The 19,570-nt window shown below is 32.5% G+C and overlaps 1 protein-coding gene and 1 pseudogene across 1 annotated transcript; one reads left to right on the top strand and one right to left on the bottom strand.

The window, feature by feature from the left end:
- Positions 3,884 to 4,804, top strand: OR8V1P (olfactory receptor family 8 subfamily V member 1 pseudogene; annotated as a pseudogene).
- On the bottom strand, positions 15,579 to 16,517 carry OR5J2 (olfactory receptor family 5 subfamily J member 2). Its single transcript, NM_001005492.1, has one exon. The coding sequence runs from the start codon at positions 16,515 to 16,517 to the stop codon at positions 15,579 to 15,581; it is 939 nt and encodes a 312-aa protein (NP_001005492.1).
- Positions 16,518 to 19,570: the final 3,053 nt, after the last annotated feature.

Here is a 19,570-nt window from a genome sequence, read left to right as displayed (position 1 = left end):
AATATTAAAAATAGTATATCTGTACAGTACACGTACTAAAAAATGGAGCTTGCAGGAGTGGAAGTGGCTCTGGGTGAGTCAGTGAGTGAGAGGTGAGTGAATGTGAGGGCCTAGTACATTACTGTAGAATAGTGCAAACTTTATAAACACTATATACTTAGACCACACTAAATTTATAAAAATTATTTTTATTTCCTTAATAATTACCTTAGCTTACTGTAAGTTTTTAACTTTATAACCTTTTAAATGTTTTAAACTTCTTGACTCTTCTGTAATAACTTAGCTTTAAACACACATTGTATAGCTGTACAAAATTTTTTTAATATCCTGGGTCTATATGCTTTTTTTCCTATTTTTAACCTGTTTGATTTTTTTTTTTTTTTACTTTTCATGCAAAAATGAAGACACACACACACATTAGCCTAGACCCACACAAGGTCAGGATCATCAATATCACTGTCTTCAACCATGTCTTTTCCCACTAGAACATCTGGAGGGGCAATAACATACATGGAGCTGTCATCTTCTGTGATAACAATGCTTTCTTTTGAAATACCTTGTGAAATCTTACTGTTAACTGTAGTCACCCTACTGTGCAATGAACCCCCTGGAAACATACAACCTCACAAAACTGTACTATTTGATTCTGTTCTCATATTATCTTCTGAATTTTTGAACTCCTAAATTTATAATAACCTAATTTGAATAATGCCTACTGAAGATCAATAGTACCTAAAAATTTTTAGGCAGCTCTACTATCAAATTATCTATTTCACACATTGCATGTTTATAAATTGTGCACAAATTAATAAAAATTTGTAATTATTATCTTATGAATTTATATTTAAATCATATAAAAGGGCAAAATAATGAGGAGTTAGGAACTCCCAAAACAGTAACACTAGATTTTATACCACCTGTTTATTCATCTGTTTAGTTACTTTTACTGTTTTTTTTTTTTTTTAATTTCTCTGTATGGCTTCTAGTTGGTGTCTGGTTTGTCCTTTTATTTCATCCTAAAACACTTTTTATATTGTTGATTGCAGGGCATGTTTGCTAGTGACAAACTCCTTCAACTTTTGTTTGTGTCTTTATTTCAGCTTCAATTTTGAAGAATTGTTTTGCCAGATATACAATCGTTAGTAGATTTATTTTTCTCAGCACTCTACCTTCAGGCTTTCATAGTTTCTTATGAACAGTTACCTATTAATATTATTAAGAATACCTTTTACATGATAAGCCACCTCTTTCTTGCTACCATTAAGATTCAAAGTGCTTTCAACACTTTGATTGAAATATGTTGCACTGTCAGTCCCTTTGAATCTATCCTCTGTTGGGTTTATTAAGCTTCTTTGGATGTGTATATTCATATCTTTCATCAAATTTGTGAATTTTTTGTCATGATTTCTCCAAGTGTTCTTTCTTTCTCTTTCCCTTCTTTCCTTCCAGAACTCTCATTATGCTTATGCTGATAAGTCAGTTAAAGTCCTTGTCTAGTAACTCCAGTTTCTGGGCTTCCTCAAGATAGTTTCTATCCATTTTTTTTAATCCTTTTCTGAATAAAACATATTTTCTTGTGTCTTGGCTTACATATTTATTTTTCATTTAAAGTTTAACTTTTTGAGTATTTTAATGAGGTTTCTTCAGAAACCATGTATTATTTCCTCTACAGGGTTTGCCTTGTTGTTGTGGACCGTAGTTTTGATTTTTTTTTCTAAATTGTTTTTAGAAATTATTTTTTCCTAAATTTACTTTTCTAATTTTTTTCTTAAAGAAAATTCTTTGTTATGCATGTTTAGTAAAGAATATTCTGTCAATTTGCCTGCCAGTGATTTTTCAGAGGTATCACTAAATTTCTAGAGCAAAAATTTTTAAAAAGAGAAAGAAAATAAATTTCTCATATTTTTTAACACTGACTCTGTTTGGGATAGTCCTTAAACTCTTAGCCAACCATTTAAAAACTTGCCTTAGCCTTCACTTCCTGCTTTTGAAGTTGAAACATGAGTGGAGCCTAAAGTTCAGCCAGAGTTGAAATCTTAGGGTCTTATCAGATTTTTTTCTGAGCAATTTTGTAGACCTAGACGTGTTTAGCTCTCAAAATTCTCTGAAGCTTTTCAAAGCTTTTATTCACCCATTTATCTCCTTGCTTAGCCTCTTGTTTTTTGGGCTTTTTGATCTATATGCTGTTTGACTTGTCTGTTATTTCCTTTCCCCATGCAACTGCAGTTAGGATATTTGCCTTTAAATAGTTTCAACAAAGTCCTATCAGGAGACTATTCCAGCTCCAATCTCTGAGTGGATCCTTCATGGAACCACTGGATGGGTTAAAACACAACTACAATTCCTGCAGAGCAAGGCTTATTTTGCTCCCTTGGTCACCAGGCAGCCACACCATGATGTGGGTCACCATCTTCATGGCTGCCACGGTGCTGAGGAATGGGCTTGGTAGGCAGATGAGTTGAAACATGACAACAATATCAACCAAAATCTAGATTTTAATAATCTTAAAAATGTAGATTCCGATAGTTTTGTTATCTTAATTTTGTTGCTTTAATAGAGATATACAGTTTTAGAGTTTCCTACTCTACCAAAAAGTGATGTCTATCTATGATAGGTATTATATAAATAATAATATCTATGTCATACAACATTGTCAACTCAAATGTATTGATTACAAGGAGTGATATATATATATATATATATAATTGAAGAAATAAAAATAAGTGTATTTTTTACATAATAATTACAATAAATGGATTCTACAAATTTTCTAAGTGGTCTACATTTAACTTAATCTGAATAATGAATATCTGTTGCCTGGGCCATTCAGGTAAAACAAATAAAAAATGTGATCTCTCCCTCTCTTTCTCTCTCTTATTCTGTTTTTCTCTTTTTCTCTCTCTTATCCTTTCTTTCCTTCTCTCTCTCTCTTTCTGGGTCTATGCATCCACATAGGATTTCTTCAGTAGGTTTTCATAATGTTAATCATATTAATAATGTTAATGTCTCTCTTAATGACTTTAATTTCTCTTTAATATCAAGCCTTTATTTCTTTAAATATCTTGACATTATTTCCACTGTCATTGCCATGTTTCTCTATTGCTTGTGTTACCCACAAGCAGGAAGTAATATCTAAAGTATTGTTTATATTCAGGATAAAAACCTTTGTTACAAATACTTAAGATTCTGTGCAACCCATAGTTTGTCTTATCAAGTTGGTTCATTATTACTGATGCTAAGTTAAATCTTGGGTTGTGATTCTGGTAGTTAGAATGTTTTAAAGTTATGGCATTTGTTTTGCAGCTAACAAGTATGTGAGACAAATTGTTGGCATGGTATGAATACCACTTTCTGAACAAATTTCCCCCCATTGAAAGTAAACATATTTGGTGGTGTTTACACTGTTTTTTTCAGTTACTTTTTTGATCTTAGCTTATATCCCATTATTTTAATGCACTGTGTTAAAATATTCTTAAGGGACAATTAAATAATTGTATACTGTGTGTGATGATATTATCAATTTACAGAAAAGAAAGTTTCATTTGCTCAACCTTCAAGATTTATGGAAAAATACTAAAGTTGGAGATACGAAATTATGTTTTTATATATATACATATAAAATAATTATGTACATATAATTTTCTCCATATTTATGTTTATGTATATGTATGTTTATACACATATATACATATATACACATATATATACTTCTGTATATATATACACACACATATACACTTGTATATATACACATGTATATATACATATACATATTTTTGTCATATTTCTTAGAAGTTAATAATTATTTTTATATTTATTCCCAATATAGGTTCCCTGAATTACTTGAATGGACAAACACAATCTGACAGTAGTGAATGAATTCATTCTAATGGGAATCACGGACATCTCTGAGCTGCAGGCTCCATTATTTGGGTTCTCCCTCATTGTATACATGTTGTCAGTGGTGGGTAACTTAGGCTTGATCATCCTCACAAAGATAGATTCTAGGCTTCAAACACCCATGTACTTTTTCCTAAGGCATCTGGCTTTCATTGATCTTGGTTATTCAACAGCAGTGGGACCCAAAATGCTAGTAAACTTTGTTGTAGATCAACATATAATCTCCTATAATTAGTGTGCTACCCAACTCACTTTCTTCAGTATATTTATCAGTAGTGAAATTTTCATTCTGTCAGCAATGGCCTATGAACGCTATGTGGCCATTTGTAACCCTCTGCTCTATATGATCATCATGTCACAAAGGGCATGTCAAATTCTAGTGGCAATACCTTATCTCTACAGTGTCTTTTTGACTTTGCTGACAGTCACAAAAATGTTTACCTCATCATTTTGTGGCTATAACATCATCAAGCATTTCTACTGTGATAGTCTGCCATTGATATCTTTGCTCTGTTCAGACACAGAAGACATTAAATTGATAATTTTAATCTTTTCAGCTTTTAATTTGATTTCATCTCTTCTGATAGTCCTTGTGTCTTACATTCTGATCCTTGTCGCCGTCCTCAGGATGAATTCTGCAGAAGGCAGGTACAAGGCCTTCTCCACCTGTGGAACTCACCTGACAGTGATAACTGTATTTTATGGCACCTTCTTCTTTATGTATGTTCACCCCAAATCCAGTCATTCACTTGATATTGACAAAATGGCCTCTTTATTTTATACTTTGATAACACCTATGTTGAATCCAATGATCTACAGTTTGAGGAATAAAGAGATAAAAAATGCTCTACGTAGAACCTGGAAAATATGTGCAAATCATCTATTTAAAATTCATTGTAGGTTATGATAACAATAAATTATGCAATAACAAATAGATACTCAAACTAATATTGCTTTACATTTGTATTGTTGCCTCCATGTGATGAGCAAGAATCAGTGTGTGATAAGCACAGAAATAGATAATTTTATTAATTACCTTTAAATAAAAATCTATCACTAACAGATGACTAATTCCTACTCATACTTTAACTATTAATCAATATTCAGTTTTAAGTTCAGCTTAGGTGCCTTTCCTATGTGTTCTCACATAGAAATTGTTTTCCATTAACTTTTTAAAATTAAAGCTAGGGACTGTATATTTTATCAGTATTTTATTCGGAGTGCCTAGTACACTGAAAGGCAGATGTATAAATAGATTCATATGATCAGTAAACATATATTGTCAAGTTAACCAACATTTCTCTTTTTTTATTTTTTATTTTTTATTTTTATTTTTTGAGATGGAGTCTCGCTATATCGCCAGGCTGGAGTGCAGTGGCACGATCTCGGCTCACTGCAACCTCCACCTCCCGGGTTCAAGCGATTCTCCTGCCTCAGCCTCCCAAGTAGCTGAGATTACAGGCACGTGCCACCACTCCCAGCTAACTTTTGTATTTTTAGTAGAGACGGGGTTTCACCATGTTGGCCAGGATGGTCTCCATCTCCTGACCTCATGATCTGCCCTCCTCGGCCTCCCAAAGTGCTGGGATTACAGGAGTGAGCCACTGCACCTGGCCCAACATTTCTCTCTTTATGAAGCCAATAGAAAATGAGTGGAATGACAAGTGAGTTATTTTGTATGATTGACAGTATTGAGTAAAATGAATATATTAGGTTGGTGCAAAAGTAACTGTGGTTTTTGCCATTACTTTAAATAAAGCAAGTAGCCAGGACAATAATTAATTTTTTAATTGAGACTTTCATGGGATTCCTCTGATGAGATAATATTTAAACAAACACCTGAAGAACTGAGTAAGTAGACTGTGTGAATACTTATGGGAAAGCTATTCCAGGGTGAGAGAACTATTAGCATAGCAGTTTTTAAAAAATAATATGACTTTTATTTTGAAAAGCAACAGTCAAAACGTGATTGGACCATAAAATAAAATTAAGAAATAGAAGATACGTTGAAGATTTGTAATGTAGAACTCAACCAAGTAAAACTATACAGGCCTTTATAAATCTTGCATTTTATCTTGATAAATAAGCCACTGTGGGATTTTTAGCTAACAAGTGTTCTGATCTATCTTTGGGTAATGGATAGCTATGACTGCTGCACAAGTTAGAGGTTGCAGAATACTAAGAATGGAAAGTTGAAAGTCCTGTGGAGGGTTAATTATGATACACTCAGAAGTGAACAGAGGCATTGACTGGGGTGGAAGATTCAGGGGATATGAAGTGTTCAGAACTTTGAATTAAAAAAAAAAATCTTTGTATCAATCTAGAGGTAAGAGACTTAAAGATGAAGATTAATGATAAAGAAAAAGAATGAAAAAATATTTACAGAGCTCACCTAAATATATCCTGAATATTCTCTTCTGCTACCAAATAATATGGAGTAATTGAGATGAGATTTTAACTTCCCATTTAAACAAGAAAAAGAAAATGAAAGACAAAATATATGAAACAGTAGCTTTCATGACACAGATGTCAGACAACTAAGGAGAGTTCCCCCTGAGAGACAGAAAACAAAGCAGTTGAATCCTGTGGTATCTTCCCTTTTCTGTCTTATGAGACTAACCAGACCGGACTGCATGAAGGGCAAACCCAAGTGAAGCTCAGAATTCCTGAGTTTAAAAGACAAGTTGAGAGTCTGCTGGTAGCCAGGGTTTGCAGGACAGAGTACCAAAGATAAGAGATCTGCACAATGGACATTGTATCTTTGCAAATAATAATTCTTAATTATTCAAGAGATGACTGATGAGAATATGCAAAATGAAACCACACATAATTGAAGAAACAATCATCCTAAAAATAAAGAGGAGTGTCCAGCACTCAAATAAAGGCAGGGATTGTAACAATTTATTACATACAGACTAGAAAAACTCATAATTCCTGAGGCTATATGTACAGTATTCAAGATCTTATTCCAGTATAAGAAAATAACCAGCCTTAGACCAATTACTGACCTGGACTCACCTGATAAATAATAAAAGTAATATCTAAAAGGATTAAATTGTTTTCAACTAATTGTATCCCACAACAAAGCTTAATAGTATTCATAAAATACAAAATTATCCAGCAAACACCAAGGCACAATTGGTAATATGTGGGATACATTGAATAATTGTCAGGCATACAAAGAATCAGGAAATCATGATCCTTAATGAACAGAATAACCAATCAATTGAAACTAACCAAGAACTGACATGGGTGTTAGAATTATCAAACAAGGGCATTAAAAGTTTTATAAGTGCATGTCATATTTTCAAAAAGGTAAGTAGGAACACAGAGGACACTACAAAATATTGAATTTCCACAGAGAGATGTACAATGTAAAAGATGAAAAGTACGTGGGATTGTATTCATAGCAGATTAGACATCATAGAAGAAAAAAAACAAGTGAACCTGTAGACATACCAATAGAAAATATCCCAAATGAAACACAGAGAATCAAAATATTTTTTTAAAAACAGAGAACAATAAGCTGAACAACTTCAAGAAGCCAAATATACATGTAATTAAACTCCTCAAAGAAGAGGGCCATTAAAATTATTTAAATAAATTATAGGTGAAAGTTTTCCAATTGTTAAAAATTAAAAACCCTCAGATTCAAGAAGATTAAACAATCCCAGGTACAAACAATATGTAGAAAACTAACTGAAGACACATTGTAATCCAATGTGCTATATATATGTACAAATATATATCTATATATATATATACAGACTATATATGGAATGTACAAATATATATAGCACTTTGAATTACAATGTGGAATACTACATGGCTAATACAATATATATGGAATACTATATGAAATATTCTATACATATGTGGAATATTGTATAGCCATAAAAAGAAGAAAATCATGTCTTTTGCAGTAATGTGGATGCAGCTGAAGGCCATTATTCTAAGCATATTAACACAGGAACAGGAAATCAAATAATACATGTTGTCACTTATAAGTGAGAACTAAAGATTGTGTTCAAATAGACATAAAGATGGGTGGGAATGATAGACACTGGGCACTGGGGTACACTAGAGGAGAAGAGAGAGCAAGGTGCAAGGGTTGAAAAGCTACATATTGGGTGCTATGTTCACTACCTGGGTGATGGGATCACTTGTATACCAAACTTCAGTGATACTCAAATTACCCATGTAACAAACCAGCACATGTAGCCCTGAACCCCAAACAAAAGTGGAGAGAAAACAAAACAAAACAAAATAAAAACAAACACAATTTCACACAGCAAGTGATAAATAAAAACCTTAAGCAGTCAAAACACAAACACTTTGTATACAGAGGAATAAGAAAAATAATAACATTTTATTTCATGTAACATCATTGTTCATTTAGCTTCTCCTCAAAAACATTGCAAGTCAAGATACAGCAGAGCAACAGCATCAAAACACTGAAACAGAATAACTGTCACCTAGGATTCTTTACCCAGGGAATACATATTTTGAAAAGGAATGTGAAATAAAGTTATTTCAGACATATCAACACTGAAAGAACCCTTCATGATTAAACTTGCACTAAAAGAAATGATAAATGAAGCCCATCAATCAGAAGGGAAAAAAATACCAGATTGAAATGTGATTCTAGACAAAAGAATGAACAGCACCAGAAGTGACTACATAGTGATTTCAATAATTTAAATCTATGTGAAAGATAATTATTTGTTTAAGAGTAATAAAAATATACAACAAAGCTGTTATAAAGGAGATGGCAGGAGTGGTTAAATACTGTAAAGTTCTTATTTTATATGTGAAGGGATATAATTACACTTGAAAGTAAACTATTACAAGTAAAATATCTATGCCCTAAAACAAACGCTAAAATAACAACCACCACCACCACAACAAAAAGAGTTGTTCTGAATGTTGTATTCTTCCCAAATGTATATGTTGAAATCCTAACCCCCAAGGTGATGGTATTAGAAGGTAGGACCTTTGGGAGAAACGAGATCATGAGAGTAGATTCTCATGAATGAGATTAGTGTCCTTGTGAGAGAGGACTCAGGGAACTTCTTACCTCCTTCCACTATATGAAGACACAGGGAGAAGACACCATCTATGATCCAGAGAGGAAGACCTTACTAGACACCAAATCTACTGGCACCTTGATCTTGGACTTCCCAGCCTCTAGAATTGTATTAAGTAAATTTCTATTGTTTAGGAACCACCCATTTTATGGTAATTTGTTATAGCAACTCTAATAAACAAAGAAAGTTTTTAAGTCCACAATAAAAAGAACAGAAAAAAGGGAAAATAGAACACCAACAACAAATGGCATTCTCTATGTCTTAATTTAGCCATCACAATAGTTCTGTGAGCTAAGTTTTACTAAAAGTTCCATTTTTCAGATGATAAAAATAAAGGTTTAGAAAGGGTAAATAAATTGTCAGAATTCACCAATGTATTAGGTAGTACAAATAGGTTTCAAAGCCAGGTAATCAAATCCAGATTTCATGCTCTCAACAACTACCCTATATTGTCCCTTAATGTCATTTTTGCCTTTGTTGCTGTCATCCTGAGACAACATAGAGCAAAGCTCCACTTTGGCAGGTGTCAGATTGAAAGAAGAGAAATAGCAGAGAGATCAGTTATAAGATGTACATGTTCTGGGGCTCTATGATTTCTATAATTAATAATACTGTATTGTTTACCTGAATTTGATAAGAAAGCACATTTTAAGTATCTTTGCTACATACACATAAACACTCAAAAAAGAAAAGAGGAAACTAAGAGTGGTGATGGATATGTTAATTAATTTGACTGTGTAATCAGTACACAATATATATGTATAGCAAATCATCACATTGTACATCTTGATTTTATGTAATTTTACTTGACAATGAAATATTTAAATATGATAAATGAATAAAGATCATAACCACTTCAAGCATAGAATATTAATTCAATAATCAATCACTACATCAACACACAGAAATATAAGCTAATCAGTGGATTATCAATGCTTGACTTTGTCAAATAGAAACCATCATGAAATGGTTGCAGAGTATAATTTGTGTGGATTAGTAATAAATTTTGGGGGGGATAGGAGCAATAATTAGCATTAAGTAATCAAGAACAGGCTGAAAAAGAAATAAACAAAGGTGTATCAATTTTAATCAATGATTTCTGTCCTAGGAAGTTCATCCACATTTGAAAAAAGATGATTTAGGAAGATCAGAATTTAGAAATTAAAACAAAAACAATTGACTATTGCTAATGCAGGAGGAAGTCAGCTCAGAATAATGTAAAAAACAGATGTCCCTTCCATGAAAAAGAGAAGTGTGTGGAGGAAGTATTTATTTGACATCAACTTCTGCTTCGTGGACCTGAGCAATTTTATGTGAGTTTCATCAATTTCGGAAAGTTAATTTAAGGACAAGACAATGAAAAACATACTGCCTCTGAAATTGTTGAGCTACTTAACTAATAAAAAAAATGACAGTCATCAGTCTCCAACCTCACGTCACTTAAAAAATTTAAACCATCTGCCTTGAGCCATCATTTGTTGAGCAATCTGTTAAATGCATAGGAGAAGCATTTCTAAATGATACAATGGAGAATAGTAGAAACACTCCATGCAATTTTGAAGGATGGGCACCGTTTTATTCTAAGGTGTGACATATGCATAGAATAAGACGGGAAGAACACCTCCTTCCTCACAGATGTACAGTATATTGGATTTTGTTATGATTAATGTAAACATACAAAAGTTACTCACCACAGTGATTAGACAGATCAAGAGGAAAAATATGCAACTCAGAAATATTTATCAACCTCAAGAAAATAGTGTTACTAATCAATCTATGTAGTTTCTCATTGAAAGAGTTCGTGTAAACAATAAAGAATTAATTGAGGAGTTGGGTATGAAAATTAAGTTTTATTATCTTTAGAATAAGAAATGATTTGTGATTCATTAAAATACTTAATGATTTGCCACAGTCTTTATATTCCCAATTGTTCAATTGTATCTGCATATGATTTTTTTTAATTATAGAAAAGTACCACCAGAGTAGAAAGGGTGGGTGGAATGACAAATTGACAAATCCTTAGATTCCCTGGGCAAAGAGTAAACCACTGGAATCCTACGAGGGAGGGAGTTTTCAAAAATCAAGAAACAGGAAGAGCTACATGCAAATTTCCAGTACATGTGAGTGGTACACTTTAGAGCAAGGAAAAGAAAACCCCTCACAAGGGTATGTAGTATTTCTCTCATTCCCCACTGTGTTATATTTGAGCAGAAGTTTACACTGCATTTAAAGTTAGTGTTATTTTTATAAGAGCCTTAATGATAAGAATTAAAACATTTGGTATGCTATTTTTAAATTCTAACAAATAAACATGACATAATACATAAAATAATAGCAAAATATAAAAACCAATCTATCCATCTATTTATATAATTTGTGGCTCAAAATATCAGATTACCACTCATCAATATAAATCAACCAGTCCCAGAGTAGACAAAATGTATATTGTTGTTCTTCTGCCACAGAAAATATTGGCACTTAGAAGGTCACCTTTTCATGGAATTACTCTTTATCCATCACAGCTGACATATATTCAAGGGACTTATTTTCAAAGTAATCTGCCTACAAATAATAACATACAGAGATTCTTTCAAGGTTTTATTTTTTAAGTTATTTAATTTCTAGATATTTTCTAGCCATGAATAAATTTATTACATATTGAACAAAAAATGCATTCTGCCTCTTGCTGAGTGGATTATACATAATCTCTTGATTTCATACCTAATAATAGATAAATTGATTATTTTTATGTTGCTAATTTTATTTTATCCCTTTATTGAGATGTAATTATAAGCCATATAATTTGCTCATTTAAAGTGCACAAGTCAATGGTTTTAATATTTCGCACTTTGAAACCATCAGAACAATCAATTTTAGATCAATATCAATAAACCAGAATGAAACTTCATGCTCATTACCAGTTAGTCCTAACTTCCCCTCAACAAGCCCCATCACATACCTAGGAAACCACCAATTCTGTCTCTATGAATTATTTTATTATGGACATTTTAAAATAAATGTAATTGTAAAATGCTGGACCTATGTGTCTGAATTCTTTCACTTACCAGAAACCTGGACATTTTTGTACTATGTTATGAGGCACCAGATTTTATTATTTTATTCTGTTTTAACTGTCTCTCTGAGAACAATCTGACACACGAAGGTGGAAACGGCCTCATTACTACCAGGTGAAAGTAGAAGACAAGATTCTCCATCTGATCTTCATTGATATTGGGGGAGGTAGCCCACATACAGCTGGACAGACCTGAGCTTCCAATATCTCACATGGTCTCTACTAACACTGCAGTGGGGATTGTCTCATTGCCACAGAGCAATGCCCTCATTTGATACCACTCTAACAGAGAGGGGAAGGGTGCCTCATTACTGCCTCCAAGTAGACTTCCAGGCTTCATTTCTGGTCTCCATTGACACTATGGGTCTAGGAAGCAGGGATCATTACCAGAAAGCAGATATGAAACTCCTGTCTCCCTGCGTGGCCTTTTCTCACATTATTCTGAAGGGGCTTTAGGAACTGTCATTCCAGCCTTGTGAGGATGGAAGTCTAAGCTCCCTCCTTGGCTTTTGCTTGTGTGGTTGAGGATGAAGGCCACCGTTTCTGTTGTTTTGTTTTGCTTTTCCATGATGTTTAGTTGTAGTAGATACACTATTGTTTAAAAATACTGTCTTTCTAAGTGTCCCTTTTCCTGGCCCCTTATCTTGAGAGAACTGAATCCTTTTGCTGCTTTTTATTCAGGGGGCTGTGTATGTGTGACAGAGAGATCACCTGTTGGCATTTCTGGGTGTTTGGCTTCTTCAGCTTCCAGTCTGTAGTCTGAAGTCAGGTAATGTGATACGTCAGCCTTTGAGGACATGAACATATACGTTTCAAAGGAAGACATATAACTGACCAAGAAACATATGAAAAATACTAGAGTGGGGAGAGAAACGGAAGCAAGGGCTGAAAAACTACCTAATGGGTATTATACTCACTACATGGGTGATGAGTTCAATTGTACTCTAAACCTCAGTATCATCAATATAGTTTTCTAACAAACCTAAATAAATATCCCTTGATTATAAAATAAAAGTTGAAAAAAATCAATGTAATTGCTCATATCAACAGAATAAAATGCATACCTGAATTTCTCAATGCAGAAACATTATTTGATGAGATGCAATATCAATTTATAGCATAAAATACAAGTGAATTCTCAGCAATCTGGAAAATGAAATGAACTTGCTGAGGAAGAGATAAAGGATATCTATACTAAAACCTACAGTAAACATCATATTTAACCATGAAATGACATATTCCTCCTAATAGCTGAAAAAAGGCAACGTTGTTTGTCCTTGCCACACCTATTTTATACTATAATGGAGATCCCAGCCTATGCAATAAGGTAAGAAAAACAAATTTATAAAACCAGATCTGAAACAAACAAGTAGAGTTGTTTCTATTTGCAAATGATAGGACTGTTTATGCAGAAAAAGAATCTGCAAAAGTAACTAGAAATATTATGTACAGAAATGTAACAGTATGTAAGAGCAATTTACTAAATTCCATTGTATTTCTGTATATAAGCAATAAACATTGGAAGTTTAAAGAAAAATAAAATGTATTAAAATAAAACAAAAATGTGAAGTATTTAGATATAAATCTAATAAAAAGTGTACTGTATCTTCATGTTGAAAACTGCTAAACTGGGGTAAAATAAATCAGGAGAAACATAAAAGATAATTCTGAAATATAAATGGAAAGGCAAAGAAACTAGAATATCTCAAATAATTTCGAAAAAGAAGAAAAAGGAAAAAAAGAAGCTAGGGAGGGAACTCACATATTAACTTTGGGTTTCTTCTTATTTATGAATAACACAGAATTAGGCAAAGTGGGAGCTGATGATTCAAAATACAATAATTAGCAAAGATAAAATAGTCACAAAAATAGAAATCAAAAACTTCTAAAGAGAGTGGGCTAATTGATGTTTATTGCCTGAGTGTCTAATTCCATATATATGTGTGTATATATATATATATGTGTGTGTGTGTGTGTGTATATATATATACACTTTTATATATATATATACTTTTATATATATATATACTTTTATATATATATATATACTTTTATATATATATATACTTTTATATATATATATACTTTTTTTCATACTAACAGCAGGATTATAGGGAGGCTTTCAGTGCACAATGATATTTAATTGTCAATATCATAGTCTGAAGTTATTTATTCTGTGTGCTTATTGTCATTGTTTTATTAATAATATTATAGTGATGATGGTTATCACTATTGCTGTTAGAAGTAATTTTGTGGCATTAACTCCATATCCCTCATGAATGACTGTCACGTATACTTAAATGTGAACAATATTCATTTCATAAGCATTTTAAAATTTATTTGCACAATCACTTTTATAATTGGATTTTCCAATATAGGAATAAGTTCAAAAAACTATTTTTTTCTGTTTATGAATTTTCATTAGCAAATTGTATATGTCTGACTTGCCAACTATAAAGCTGGAACTACACATTTACTTGGCTATTTCTTCAACTGTCTCATGAACTTTAAGTATCAAGATTCTTTCCTCTGATCATGATAGTAGAGTTCAAAAATACAGAAAAATACACTTAATTCAAATTAATTTAATATTAATGCAAATATTTCCTCAAATTTTTGCTAATGGCAAAAGTTAACATTACATAATGGAAGAAAACTATCAAATCTTAGAATGGATAATTACAGAAGTGAGTCAATGAACAGGTTTTAACTTACATAGTCTGATTTTAAGTATTTAATATATTCCATGAAATTTCTGTAAACGATAAATTTGTGGAATTTTAACTATCTTATTTGCAGTTTTTTATTTTAGATCTTTAATGATAGAAAAAATATTCAAAAAAGAGAGATAAAATGTGTTTTTAATTTTAAATACTTCAAAATGACTATATTATTCTATTCATGCAATTAAAATTTTTAAATCTTAAGCTAAAATTTTATGAGGCTTTTGCTATAATCTCAGAAGTAATCATAGGGATAGCTACCCTCTCTCTTCAGAGTTTAAATCATAGAGAAGGAGATTAACAAAAACATGTTTTTGAAAGAGCTGGAGAGAAAATAATCTCTTCAGTTTATTTCTATGAGGGGCCTGCCACTGTTTAAAATATTTAAATTATAAGTCAATGAAGGCACATTTCAGTTGTATAATTATATCTATTTTCTTGGAAATTCAAGGACTAGTTATTTTTTCCTACAAAGTACCCTATTTTTATATCCTTAAGTGCAAGTATTATTATAATTTTGTAACCCCAAATAACAGAAAAGAACAGATGTAATACTGTACTATGTATTGATTATTACGTGAATAACCTAGAATATCAGCATAACTAAGTGATAGATTGTTGTTTTTGTGTTGCAGGTATGTGAATTAAGTTTTCTCTTCTGGCTGCCTCCTGAAATGCAACAAAAGTATATAGAATGAGAATATCTGTAAAGTCTTGAGAAGCTTTGGCATTCACGGAATTCTTGGAAGTGAGAACTGAATGACAGAATGTTGTAGGATTAATAGTGACTTGAAATTAACAGAGGAAATGTTTCATTTCTATGGCCCTTTTCACTGCCTCCTTTACGTCCTTGTTTCTCAAACTGTGTATCAACAGGTTTAACATGGGAATCCCTAGCGTATAGAACATAGAAACCACTTTCTCTTGTTCCACAAAATACTGGGAGCTTGGCTGAATGTAGCTAAAGATTAAGGTACCATAGAATATGGTCACAGCAGTCAGGTGAGAGGCACAGGTGGAGAAGGCTTGCTGTCTGCCTGATGCTGAGTGGATCCTTAGGCTAGCAAAAGCAATGAAGATGTAGGAAATGATCACAGTCAAGAAGGTGGCCATGGCAATGACTCCGGAGAAGGTTAACAGCAACAACTCATTCATGGAGGTGTCAGAACATGACAGCTTTAGCAGTGAAGGAATGTCACAGAAGAAGTGGCTGACAGCATTTAGCCTACAAAAGGACAGTCTCCTCAAGCTGATTGTGTGGATTAATGTGTTAACTATTCCACCTATCCATGATCCTGTGACAAGCTCCACACACTTTCTATCAGACATGGCTACAGTGTAAAGCAAGGGACTCACAATGGCCACATAGCGGTCATAGGCCATCACTGACAGTAAGAAGCCTTCTGTGGTGATGAACACTCCGAAACACAAATGCTGTACCATGCAAGCAGAGAAAGAAATTGTTGCCTTCACAACCAGGAGGTTCACCAGCATTTTGGGTGCAATTGCAGATGAATAGCAGGCATCCACAAATGAAAGACAGCTGAGTAAAAAGTACATGGGTGTGTGGAGTTTGGAGGTGATTTGGATTAAGAGGATCATGCCCAGATTCCTCAACAAGGTAATGGCGTAAATCACCAGGAACACCACAAAAAGCACAGCTTTTAGTTCAGCATGATCTGTCAATCCCAAAAGAATAAACTCAGTGACAACTGTAAAATTATCATCAGCCATATGTTTCTTTCTTTTTCACAAAATCTACTGTGAAAAAAAGATAGACTCATAATTTGTCAGGGGGAAAATACATATATATTACATATATAAAGTATTTAAATTGATACATATTTTATACACATACACATGCACAAGGATAAAATACAGACAACTACTGATGTTGTTCTTCAGGTAAATAATCTTCTTTCTTGAATTCTGAGGATTTTCATCAATAAATTTAGCAAGTAGGCTAGACAGTCTCTAATATTTTTTCCAGTGACACTTTATGTGCTTATACCTCATAGAAATCGATGTGTAAAAATGATTTTTTCTCACAGCATCTGTCTCTGAAATGTCTAGCTCCATAACAAAGTGCCACCAAAACTGATAAAACACTAGTGATAATTTAAATGAACAGTATGTAAAATACATATTGTTAGAATATTAAATTACCATTCAATGAAACTCCTTTCTGGTAATTTTTTGGTTTGTTTTTGAGTAAATAAGAAAACTTTCTAAAATTGCCTGTATTTTCTATTTATAGAGGGAATTAATCTACAGTTGCATTATTATAGACAGCAAAGTGGCCACAATAATGAAGTAAGGTGGATCAGGGACCCACAGTGATGACATTGGAAAATGCCAGGGAGCCAGAGACTGGCCTCTGTGACTATGGGTGGCATGGTGTGGCAACACCAAACTCTGAAACTCATGAAATAACACCCTGTCTCTTGAATGACACCTACTAAAAGAAGTGGGGATTCTTAACTCTAGGTAATCCTCCCTGCAATCATGGTGGGAGAGTAGCCCTAATCATTTACTCTGAGATTGAGGACCTAGAATCCCACATATTGCATGAAATGGAGCCTTCCTGTTTTTTTTTTTTTTTTTTTTTTCTGAGACTTCAAATAATTTTAGGCAATAAAACAAACTCAATAATTTAGAACATGAATATATATACTCACCAAATATTCTGTGATACTTCTTCCTCTTATTCATCCTATAAAAGGTAGTTTAGACAATTTAAGACTTTCTAAAAATGTAATTTCAATTGGAACAATACACACCTGCACCTCCTATTCAAAGCTATTCACCTGTTTCATAATCAACTATCTCCCACTCTTATTTCCTATTAAATGGATTGTAGTTTTAGAAATGATGAGAAACAAATATTGATTCAGTCTATGTGTAATTTATACCCCTTATTAATTTTAATTAAAATATTTCAAAGACAACAATGGTGAAAAGTGAAAATACATAGTTGACAATAACTGGCTTTATTTAATTGGACAAGTTAACTTATTTCATCCAAGATATAATTATAATTACTTCTCTAGAATCCCTGAGTGTATTGAAGGAGTGTATTGAAAAATACTTTATTACAATGAAGTATTTTTGTTTCTTTAACAATTAACAAATTAGATAGTTACGTAAGTATATGAAGCATAACCAGATAGATAGATAGAACAGTGATAGACACTTAGTGTAATATATTTTGATTCACAGTGATCAGGTAAAGCTTTAAAAACTTTCTAATTGATTTCTTTGATGCAGCATTTCTGCAATGTTTAAGCACTATTTTTATTTATTTATTTTAGTAAATGTTTATCTCAAGTTATTCACTAACTAGCATTGTTAAATATAACGTGAAAATGCATATTTTTTAATGATTTTCTAAATGATCTTTAGTAATTTCCAACAGATATGACAATATGGATAAGTACTGTAAACAATAATCCTAAGTATTTAAAAACTGCATTTTTATACAACATATATGCTCTTTTTTCTACCACTCTTAGAATATCAGCTGGATAGTTTTCTCAATAAAAGAGGAATACTTATAGATATGAATTATAAGTATAATTTAGAAAATAGTATGTTTGAAGAAATTAGAAATTAAATTAACTATCAAAATGTATAAGTGTACAACTTTCAGCAAAATTAGGTGGAAATATTGTAAATGGAATCACATAATAAGGCACAGTGTTAACTTACAGAAAATTTAAGATTCAAAACCTTAAGGATTTTATCTAACTGAAAATTTCAATTACCTGCAGAATGAATGCTAAATATGAAAAAATAAATATTCAAATGAATGAATAAAACTTACCAAAGACGGAAAAATTTTTAAGGGATGGGCTTGCTTAAAATGCTCATGTCCATCTCCGTTTTCTTACTGTTCACTTAAAAATGCAATCAGTTAATACATTTTTCTGAGATTTGGAATGATCAATATTATAATGGTAGTTAACTTAAGATCATTCAGTAAAAATAATTCATATAAAACCTAGGTTTCAATATAGAACGAACATAATGGAAACAAAGAAACGATGATTATACATCTTTAATTGTTTATGAGAACAAATTATAAGAAGGTGGAAGTCTATACATATATATAAATGTATATATGCATTTTCGTGTGATCAAATGAGGCCAGAGTCCCTGTAGTTCAGAGTCTATGTAAAGTAACATAGCAACAACAAGAAAATTACACATTGTTTTGCATCCTGTTTTCTCAGGAGACTTTCTCAAGATATCTCGATGGGAATGGTATTCTCTGAGGTTTGCAATATTACAAAAAGAAAGGTTCAAAAAGTGAAAGAAGGCTTAAAGCCATGGATGAGAAAATAGTAGAAATAGTCACACTTTAAATAATGTGCTTAAATTGCATAGCATTTTATTAAGATTAACTATTACTACAACTACCCTGTGTAAGGCAAAAATGCATAAGGAAATCCAATTTGATAATAGCCAGCCTATTAAAAAACTTTTAGGATGCAGCATCCCACCTCCTACCTCCACATATTCCTGTTGAGAGTCTAAATCTGCCTTCCATATAGCAGATAGAACGGCCACTTATCACTCCTATCGAATGTGATATTTAGCTTCAATAGTCTCATTTCTTTAACAAATATTTCTGGGGGACAAAGACAAGCTATACGTTGTGTAAGGCACTAGAAAAATATGGATTATCAATAACAAACAAGGAAGGAAACATAGTTAGACTTCCTCTTCCAGCAAGTGGAGGCTATTAGGTTGGTGCAAAAGTGATGGAGGTAGGAGACTCGCTTGAA

The sequence above is a fragment of the Homo sapiens genome, chromosome 11 (assembly GCF_000001405.40).
Source record: "Homo sapiens chromosome 11, GRCh38.p14 Primary Assembly".
In the NCBI taxonomy this organism is placed as follows: domain Eukaryota; kingdom Metazoa; phylum Chordata; class Mammalia; order Primates; family Hominidae; genus Homo; species Homo sapiens.
This window is presented reverse-complemented; position numbering and strand designations above follow the sequence as displayed.